Genomic DNA, 10,819 nt, shown 5'->3' with positions numbered 1-10,819 from the left:
AAAACCTAGGAGTCATTCACTATTCCCCTTTTCCCACCCCTAGCCCCTATCCAATAACTTGCCAGGTCCAGTCCTGAATTATGTCCTAAATTATAAAACTCTGTGTCCTAAATTACTGAATAGTAACCAGCTGGCAGAAGGTAAGAAGGGGATAAACAGGAATGTGAGGCTCATGGAAATGGTGCACACCAGAAGTGAGGCCCAGAGGTTCAACTATAGTACCAGGCATAACTTGGTGTTGCATGTTGTTGGTAGTTACAGTGAGTCTTGCGGTGTCTGAAGGCTACACACCAAGCAAGCATAACACATGCTATTCCTGTGTGGTGGGAAAGTATTGCCAGTGCTCCTAGCAAATCCATTTGTCTTCTATCAAATAATGCTCTTTGGAGTCACAAGACTAGGAGTCATGGTGGAGGCTCCTAATGTGTAGTAGGTGAGGTTTCTCTCTCTCCTCCTGGTTTCCAACATTGATTAGTCTCAGTTAGGGAACTCGTGACAAATGTGCTATACTCCTGTATCAAGGACTTAATAAAAATTGCATTAAATTAGTGAATGAATGAACCATATTTCCTCATTTGAGAATTGTTGGTTTATAGACCTTGCCTATTTATCTTTGTGTGTGCTGAGTGAGTCTGCAAAAGCTTATCGTATAATGAACAAGGATAATGCTATCTGTGTCACATTTGCCACAAAATGTTTTTTCTAGTTTTGCATGGGGGGTATATTTTTGTGAGCAAATTTGTCTCCATGTTCCCTGGTCATCTTTTCTCTTCCAGACACAGGGATCTATCTTGCTTTGGCCTATGCCTGAGCACATAGAAATCCCCAAATGGAAGGGGAAAAGGGATTTCAGTCCAGAAGGGCACTCCTTGCTTTTTCACTGATCATATACATGTCTCAACACTAAATACTTTCATTCAGGCAGGAGTTATCACTTTAAGGTAAAACAATTCCACATTTAAAAAAATGTTTTTCAAACACAACATACAACACTCCAGTTAACTGAACGTTTGGAAAAAGTTTTTAGTATAACTCATTTCACTTCAGTACGTCTATTTTCAGAATGGCCATTGTGCCAAGGACAAGTTGATCAAGTGACTTCCCCTAAGTGTTCTGGCAATCCACCCTGATGACACACTGCCAGTTATCAAAAGCACAATCAAGTTCAGTAGAACTGAAGCCTAAGCCTGCAGGGTTGAGACCGCTGCGCTTTAAAAACAGGCCCTCCAACATGGTGAAGCCTCGTCTTTACTAAAATACAAAAAATTAGCCGGGAGTGGTGGCGCATGCCTGTAGTCCCAGCTACTTGGGAGGCTGAGGCCGGGGAATCACTTGAACCCAGGAGGCGGAGGTTGTTGTGAGACGAGATCGCACCACTGCACTCCAGCCTGGGTGACAGAGCAAGAGTCCATCTCAGAAAAAAATAATAATAATAAATAAATAAAATAAGGCCAGGCGTGGTGGCTCACCCCTATAATCCCAGCACTGTGGGAGGCCAAGGCAGGTAGATCGCGAAGTCAGGAGTTTGAGACCAGCCTGGCCAATATGGTGAAACCCCGTCTCTACTAAAAAATACAAAAATTAGCCGGATGTGGTGACGCATGCCTGTAATCCCAGCTACTCAGGAGGCTGAGGCAGGAGAATCGCTTGAACCCCTGAGGCGGAGGTTGCAGTGAGCCAAGATCACACCACTGCACTCCAACCTGGGCGACAGAGTGAGACTGTCTCAAAAAAATAATAATAAAATAAAATAAATAAATAAGTAAATAAAAGTAAAAACAGGCCCTCAGTGTGCTGAGTCCTGTCTGGATATTGGTCTTGAGTCACTCTAATTAATTAAAAAACAGGTATTTTAAAATTATTACTAAAGTTAATCGTGACAAAGAATGTTAATGGCAAAGAAAGTGGGAATAAAAGTGAACTTCCTTCTTTAGTCCCTCAATTCACCCACATTCCCATAAATATACTGTTTACCCAAATAATAATACAATATACATATTGTTGTACACCTTGCTTTTTCACTGAATAATAGATGCTTTACGATACATAACAATAATCTGTATAAACAGCTAGTTTTTATACTGATAGGCACTACACATATTGACAAGCCTGTAGCAAATATAATTAAGAAGAGAGTTAATATCAAAGGAAGAAACAATATTCCTGAAGTAACTGGTAACTACAGTTAGAAAATTAAAAGACTTGTAATAAATGGATAATTTTTCCAATAAATTTTCAAATAAATTTTAAGATTGCCATGGGACCAAGGATGCAGAGGTCATTTTAAATTCAGGATACACTAAGGCCAAGCAGATCTGGCTGATCCGCTTACCAGAGTCACCATACTTGCCTAACGAGATATTACACCTCCAATAAACTCATTGTTCTGTGTCTAAGAAGTGCCTAGCACTCAATAAATATTCGTGGAATGAAGGAATCCACTATGCAAAGTGAACCAGTCGTTAATCTTGGGAGCTCACTTTCTGAAGCAGTCTCCTCTATGGGACTATCACCTGCGGCTCCTACGACAGGCTTCATCTGCAAGCTAGATGCTAAAAATTTATTTTTTCTTTAGCCCTCCTGTCAGTAGGATTCGAAACAGATTCTGATTTAGTAGGAGGTTATTTTCACGACTATCCTTATGCTTTCCTGTCCAAATTAATTGAAGGTAATCAAATTCATCCTGCTTATATCGGACCACCATGGGTGTATTAGTCTGTTTTCACACTGCTATAAAGAAATACCCAAGACTGGGTAATTTATAAAGGAAAGAGGTTTAATTGACTCACAGTTCCGCATGGCTGGGGAGGCCTCAGGAGACTTACAGTCATGGCGGAAGGGGAAGCAGGCACCTTCTTCGCAAGGTGGCAGGAAAGAGAGTGTGTGAAGGAGGAACCGTCACTTATGAAACCATCAGACTTTGTGAGAACCCACTCATTGTCATAAGAACAGCATGGGGGAAACTTCCCCCATGATCCAATCACCTCCCTGCCTTGACATGTGGGGATTACAATTTCAGATGAGATTTGGGTGGGAACACAGAGCCAAACCATATCAATGAGTTATCAATTTTCTCCCTGATGATAAATATTAACATCTTTTGGTGGGGAAGTAGTATGAGGACAGTGAAGTCCTTTGACTTTGATTTGGGATCAGGTGGTTAAATGAATCCCCTGCTTGCGCAGATGTCTAAGTCAGAAATAATTATTTTTCCATAAAATTTTAGTTTTTATATAATTCTTAATGTAGCTACTAATTATTTAACAATGACGGGGTAGATATTGCTTCTGCTCTGTTAAGATGCTTAACATTACCATTTACTCAGTTTGAGGCTCTGCTCATTAGAAAGGAATGTGGGGACCATTCTCATGACATCTAGCAGAAGGATCCTCAGTTTATTTGGAGGTGCGAACAGACAAGAAAGTAGAAATTGGATTTGGCTGGGCGCAGTGGCTCATGCCTGTAATCCCAGCACTTTGGGAGGCCAAGGCAGGGGGATCATGAGGTCAGGAGATCGAGACCATCCTGGCCAACATGGTGAAACCCCGACTCTACTAAAAATACAAAAACAAGCTGGGCATGGTGGAGCGTGCCTGTAATCCCAGCTACTCAGGAGGCTGAGGCAGGAGAATCGCTTTAATCAGGGAGTCGGAGTTTGCAGTGAGCTGAGATTGCGCCACTGCACTCCAGCCTGGTGACAGAGCGGGACTCCATCTCAAAAAAAAAAAAAAAAAAAAGAAATTGGATTTTGTTAAGCAATTGGGTAAGGCAGAAAAGGAATATGGTCTTTACAACTGGTCAGAGATCTTCATCTGTAAGAGAAAGGGGAAAAACATGTACATATCACTATTTCAAAGAGAGAAGTAGCCCTGTCTGAGTTTTATTATGTGATTCAATTGATAAAGAGGACTGGAAATTAAGAAATCTTTGTTCTATTCCCATCATTTGAATGCTTTCACATTGCTCTTTCTGACTCTGGCTTTTTAAGACAATTGGCTGTGACTTGATCAAAATATCCTCTGCGTGCAGTGGTTTAAGAGCACAGCTCCGTAACCACCATTAGAGAACAAGCAATCTAAGTAACTCATTACATTCTAAGTACTTCTTAATTTAGAAACCAAGGAACTAAATGCAGGCAGGAGATTTAAAAGTCCATAATGATATCAGCTTAAATGAGGCTTCTGGAATTACGTTGTAAAAAATCTGCAGTGTTCTGTTATTCAAGTGCTACTCGGAAAATTGGAACCCACAGGCAGGCAAGAAAAGGGCTCTTTAGCATTGCCCAGGATTTGCTCTGGGTGAAGCTTACTTTGCTTATTTTCTTCTTTTTGGAAGTGAGATTATCATTCCAATCCCTTTTCTCTTGCTCTTGACTCAATGCTTGAAGCATCTGAGAAAGGGAGGGTTCTTCAGTATCAGGCCATCAGATGCCTCCAACTACAACCTTGACCTGTAACATCTCCAGGTCACCTAGATCTGCAATGTCTAGAGCAGTAGTTTTCAGCTCTGGCTGTACACTGAGATCACTGGAGGCAGTTAAAAAAATTGCTATTGTCAAGGCCCTTACCTAGACCATTAAATCAAAATCTCTGGGGCTACAGCCTTGCTATCAGTATTTTTCAAGTTTCATATGAAATTCTAATGTGCAGCAGGTATGGAGATTGGGTCCTGATACAGAGGAACAAAGACATCCTCAAGATCCATCTTGACTCAGGCTTTGCTTCTGAGACAGCAGGTCTCCAGCGTGGTGGAATTAGCCCTGTAGGGGTTGAGTTCCTGGCTCCCCAGTGAAGCTTGGCTTGATATTACAAATTTGGGGCAAGACTAAATGTAGAAGTGAATCCTACTTTATCCTTTTTCTACCCCTAAGGCTGAGGTGGAAAGTAATAGTTACCCTTGATTCACTTAATTAAAATCCAAAACCCTATAGCAGAGTGGTGGCTTAAGAGATACCTTAGATAAACTACAGTATAGCATCATCCATTTAATTTCAGACTACCACTTATAGATGGAATTCTGTGTGCTCAGACACTTTCATATCTCATTTCATTTGCATGTCAACCTCTTTGAGCTAGGATTAATTTAGCCCATTTAATTTAGAGGCACAGAATAATATTTCAAAACACATATACAATGTGTGATGATCAAATCAGAGTAATTAGCATATCTATTGCCTCATAAGTTTATCATTTCTTTGTGTTAAAAACATTTGAAATTGTCTCTTCTAGCTATTTGAAAATATTCAATATATTATTAACTATAGTCACCCTATAGTGCTATAGAACACTAAGGCTTATTCCTCCTATCTAGCTGTAATTTTGTATCAGCTAACCAACTTTTCCCCATTCTCTCCATGCCCCTATTCTTCCCAGCTTCTAATAACCTTAATTTTACTCTCTCCTTCTATGAGCTCAAATTTTTTAGCTCCCACATATAAGTGAGACCATGTGGTACTTATCTTTCTGTGCCTCACGTATTCCACTTAACGTGTGTCCTCCAAGCTCACCTACATTGCCTCAAATGACATTTTTTTCTTTTTATGGCTGAATAGTATTCCATTGTATATATGTGACACATTTTATTTATCCATTCACCTGCTGTAGGACATGTAAATTGATTCCATATAAACTATTCTATTGTGAATAGTACTGCAATAAACATGGGAGTGCAACTATCTCAACATACCAATTTCCATTCCTTTGAGTAAATATCAAGCAGTGGGATTTTTAAAAAGTCCCACAAAGTTCCAAGAAGCAAAACTTGAATTTGTCACATGCCAAGTACTGTGTGAAGTGACATGAATGAAATGATGTGTAAGCATTATATTAGGTGTTACAAGTAATCTAGAGATGATGTAAAATATATAGGGTGATATGTTTAGGTTATGTGCAAATACTATAACATTATATATATATATATATATATATATATACACACAAAATATATATAGTACACTAAATAGTATAGTATTTTAGTATATATACTATCATATATACCAAATACTATTTAAGAAACTTGAGCATTTGTGGATTTTAGTATTCATGGAGGGTCCTGAAACCAACTCCCCATGGATACCAAGGGATGACTGTACATTCTAATTGACACAAAGTTTCCTTAAAAGAAGCAACACACAGATGATTTTAAACTCCAATTGATTTATTGCTTTCAAATATATTTTTAAATTTTCGTACAGTAAAATTCACTTCTTTTGTCATGTAGCTTTATGGTCTTTTATAATTGCACACAGTTGTGTAACCATCACAATCAGAATGTATAAATATTCCATCACCCCAAAACATTCCATCATATTGTCCCTTTGGTATCAAACCCTCCCCATGCTTCCAATCCATGGGACTCACTAGTATGTTCTCGATACCCTACGCTTTTGCTTATCCCAGGATATCGTTTGAGTGGAATCAGCAGAATATGTAGGTTTTGAGTCTGGCTTCTTTCATATAATGCAACTGAGATCCACCTATGTTATTATATCAGTAGTTCTTTCATGTTTGTTGCTGAGTAGTAGTCCTTTGTATGGATGTACTCAAGCTTCTCTTTTTATCAATGGAAGGACATTTGGGTTGTTGCTGGTTTTAAGAATGAAGTTGCTATAAACATTCACACCAAAAAAGTGCCTATTTTACAAATGAAGAAGCAGAGATAAGTCAGAGCTTCAGTAATCAAAACAAAATCACCCATCTAGGAAGCGGCCAAATCGGGATTCAAACTCTTCTTCCAGATTCTAAGTCTGGTTTTTCTGTCAGGTAGTACAGCTCCCCTCACCACACTGCTTCTAGGCTACTATGATATCAGTGGGCAATCAAGCATCAAGCTGAGATCAATCAAGCTGAAGCAGGAGGTAAACTGGTTTTGTCTTCATGAATATTATGATCATTGTTTCTCTTCTGGAACATGGAGCTGAAGTTTCAGGCAATTTAATGTTTTTATTTCTTTTTTTTTTATTTTTTATTATTGTAGAGACGGGATCTCACTATGTTGCCCAGGCTGGTCTTGAACTCCTGGCTTCAGGCCTTCCTCCTGCCCCAGCTTCCCAAAGTTCTGGGATTACAGGCGTGAGCCACCATGCCTGAGCTTGATGTTTACAGACCAAAAGTAAATCTCTCAAGACAATTGAGTACAAGATAAAAGAAGCACTTCTCATCGAATTCAGATTTAAGTTTCCAAAATTCAGCTACCTTTGCTAGTATGCACTCTTCCAAATTGGTGGCTCTTTTCTCTCTGAACTTGGGAAGAAAGGGAAGGATTCCAAGAAGGAAGAGGAGGATAGCTCATGGGATTCTTTGGCATAGAAAAAAATGGCTTCCCTGTATCAGCTCCTTGAAAAATGACATAATTAAGGAGAGAAAGTCCCAGGGATTTTGTGAGGAAATCAAAAATGCCTGCTATGTTACTGTGTGTTCAAATAATTAAAGATTGACTTATGATCACAAACTTTTTTAAATCGATGGAGTTAAACACCTCCTAACCTGAACTATTTTTAATTGATAGAGAATAAAAGTTTCAGCTGGGGCCAAGAAAGGAGTGATTTCTAGATGGTGGCAAGATTGGACAAGATATGCAGATAGCCAGAATACAGGTAAAGTAATTGAAGGTAAAGATAAGGAATCATCCATTTTTTCTTTGAGGTTTTTTAAAACAATAATAACAATCTCAGATATGAAACTGGCAGATTTGTGTTTCATATCTTGAAGAGCTCTGATCATTTCATGTAGGACAATTAAGAGCCCAGTGACAGCATGCTTTAGAGTTTTATTAAATACTTATGCATTGAATGAAATTGATCAAGATGGGGGAGAAAAGACAAATCCTGTCTGCTTTGCAATCCCACTTTCCAGGGCTACTAAACTGGGGTTTGGATTCCAACTGGTGCACCGCAAGATAAGGATGTTTCCCATCCTTGGACAGCCAGGTTAGACCAGAGATGGGCCAAGCTCTTCAGCAAGTCCACTTGCAGCACAGAAGATCCTCAACTATCTTCCAAATGCTATTAAGTTGACCCCAGTTTGTGGTATAAATATTTTTATTTTCTGAGTGACATCATGTGAAAAATGTTGGGAAACTCTTTAGACACAAAGCATTAGATAATCTAAAATCAAGCATTTCTACTTCGGATAGCCCAAGCCAGAGTGAATGTATCTATATTTGTTAGGGCAGCTTAAATTCCCAGCTTTCCCCTTGTTCAGCCCATGCTCCCTGCCCAAAAGTGGAGAAATGCTACCACTCGATTCAACCAGACATTCCCCAATAGGAGAAATATGCATTTGCATATCTCTGCCTTTTCCCAGTATTTCCACAGGCAGGCAAGAAAGGACTGCCACACAGAATCCTGTGAATTCCTATGTTCCATACCATATTCATGGAATTACATTTGATAAATGAGTAACAATGAAATGCTATTGCTTCTTATATTTGAGATTTGATCTAAAAGAAAACACAGAGAGAAATCTGAGTTTTTTGAAGGCAGAATGTTTTATAAGGGGAAATACATATATAACAATTAAATACATATTTGGCAATTAAATATTTGGCAATTAAGATAAGTACAAACAGTTGGGATTTTTAAACATCAGCTCTTTGAAGGAATAGAATGCCTTAGAATGTTCACCCTAGTACATACCCTGGCAAATGAACTTAACGGCAACTATTTAAGAATGAGCATCAGGCCTATGCCGAGTAGAAAGCATGACATTCTAGGATTACGATGATAATTCTACTTTTACAAAACTGAACCATACGGCATTGTTAGCCCTAAGTGGCTTTCCCTTGGAGGTTATATAAAAGAATGACGGTATATTGGATGACCTTTAATTATTCAGTTTCCTTCTAAGGATAGCGATCTGTATTCTAGCTCTGACTGTGGGTCAGAGACTAAATAAGAGAAACTCAAAGAGAACTGCAGCCGAGGAACGAATAAACCAAAAACACAAGCACCTGATCTGTTTCCTTCAGACGATTCCTTTCACTCTGTAGGGCCTATGTATAGTCATCTCTCCCACTCTCTATTGAAATAAACAAGTCTAATAACACCGGATGTGAACGGCAAATTTGAATTTTAAATTTCGAACACTACAGGTAAGAAGCAGGCAGCAAAAGGGGAGCAGAGTATCACCTTCCGAAAACATAACCCACCTCTTACGCCACAAACTTCGGGCCTTGGCAACAGGAGGCGGCAGCATAGCAGCCCAGCCTGGGAGCTGCCCTGCTGCTGCTTTCTAGAGAGGATGGAAATGGATGTGAATGTAGCTCAGCATTCCAGAAACACAGCAGCCTGGCACAGTGAATGCTGGAGTGGGGCCTGGTTCTCGCGCAAGTTGCAGGAAAGATTCTCTGTTCTCCCCAGGTCCTGGCAGGTGTGAGATAGAGGTGCAAGCAAGTAAAAAGAACACCTTGATTTCACAAGGGTATGCCAACGGTGACCTTCAGTTTGTTGTCCCAGCATGCGGCACCATAGCCTATCGGCCTGCAGGAAAGCCCCTGCAGACAGGGAGGTTTGCTGGGAGGCTGGGGCAGATGCTGGTGGCCTGTGCTCAACTTCACACACTGGCATTAGCACTGGAGGGGATTCTACTCAACCTTCCAGCAAACAAAAAAGCATTCTTTATGGGAGGGCCCGGGCACGGTGGCTCACACCTGTAATCCCAGCACTTTGGGAGGCTAAGGCGGGTGGATCACCTGAGGTCAGGAGTTCGAGACCAGCCTGACCAACATGGTGAAACTACATCTCTACTAAAAATATAAAATTAGGCAGGGGTGGTGGCGCATGCCTGTAATCTCAGCTACTTGGGAGGCTGAGGCAAGAGAATCATTTGAACCCGGGAGGCGGAGGTTGCAGTGAGCTGAGATCGCACCATTGCACTCCAGCCTGGGCAACAATTGTGAAACTCTGCCTCAAATAAATAAATAAAGTGAGAGGTACTGCAGGAGATGGTGTTTCTAAGAGCATGGAGAGATGGTAAAGAAAGACAAGTTGGGAATTGACAGAGAGGCTGTACTAGAACAATGTTTTCAAGTTCAACCTCAGGTCAATAGAGTTTGCTAGATACGAGAAACATGGAAATAAATGTTCTTTCTCTTTTCCAAGTGATTTGAGGAAAATATTCACTCTGAGAAAGCACTTCCTTATGCTTCTCAAGATGAAAAGAAGGTTTCTATTTATGTATCATCCAAATGTCCTGGTGAGGAGCAAAACTTATTTGTCAAACACGCTGAACCTACCCACCCATATTGACTCATCCACTATCTCAGATGCTCTCTGAAATCCAGAATCTTTAAAAAGGAAAATAAGATACTTCATTGGCGTTTTTTTTTTCCCAGAAAGTTACTTATTATGACTTTTGTAGCTTTGCATTTTTTCTTTACTTCAACATGTTATTTTAAAAAACTTTTTGGTTTATTGTTAATTTCCCCTTTTGCGGGCTCAGTTGTACAATATGGTATGTGTGTTGGCTGTAATTTTGGAGCTGAATTTATGGGCCTGCTATAGTTCAAATGATAGTCTATTTTTGCTTGTTTTATTTTTTCCTGGGCTTGATATGTTTTATGAGGTTCTTTCCTATAGTGCTGGCATTCATATCTGGCATAACCAAAATTCTGTCTCTTATTTAATATTCCTTCAAAGCTTTAAACCTAAGTATTTTCTTTTCCTTTGTATGATGCTGGAGCTTGTTGTGATTTTTAAAAAATATCTGGAAACATTTCCTTCCACATCAGAAACTCAAGTTTGCAAGAAATCCCTTTGGGAGCCTTGAAATGTTTATTTGAAGGGCAGACAGGAGGGACTGACAACACTGGACCTCCTGTC

The 10,819-nt window shown here is 39.8% G+C and overlaps 1 long non-coding RNA gene across 1 annotated transcript, besides 2 other annotated features; it reads left to right on the top strand.

The window, feature by feature from the left end:
* The first annotated feature begins 6,208 nt into the window (after window positions 1-6,208).
* LOC105377816 (uncharacterized) lies at window positions 6,209-8,775 on the top strand. The gene is made up of 3 exons (XR_942079.2): window positions 6,209-6,428; window positions 7,507-7,594; window positions 7,854-8,775. It is a non-coding gene; the product is annotated as an uncharacterized LOC105377816 (long non-coding RNA).
* Window positions 8,895-9,394: an enhancer, noted in NCBI's record as "H3K4me1 hESC enhancer chr13:74097117-74097616 (GRCh37/hg19 assembly coordinates)". NCBI's record gives its function as "activates a minimal SCP1, AML or CMV promoter by ChIP-STARR-seq in naive H9 embryonic stem cells {active_cell/tissue: H9 hESC(naive)}" and the evidence as "EXISTENCE:reporter gene assay evidence [ECO:0000049][PMID:30033119]".
* Window positions 9,395-9,896: an enhancer, noted in NCBI's record as "H3K4me1 hESC enhancer chr13:74096615-74097116 (GRCh37/hg19 assembly coordinates)". NCBI's record gives its function as "activates a minimal SCP1, AML or CMV promoter by ChIP-STARR-seq in naive H9 embryonic stem cells {active_cell/tissue: H9 hESC(naive)}" and the evidence as "EXISTENCE:reporter gene assay evidence [ECO:0000049][PMID:30033119]".

The sequence above is a fragment of the Homo sapiens genome, chromosome 13 (genome assembly GCF_000001405.40).
Source record: "Homo sapiens chromosome 13, GRCh38.p14 Primary Assembly".
Lineage (NCBI taxonomy): Eukaryota > Metazoa > Chordata > Mammalia > Primates > Hominidae > Homo > Homo sapiens.
Note: the sequence above shows the minus strand (reverse complement) of the source record. Positions and strands in the feature narration are given on the sequence as shown.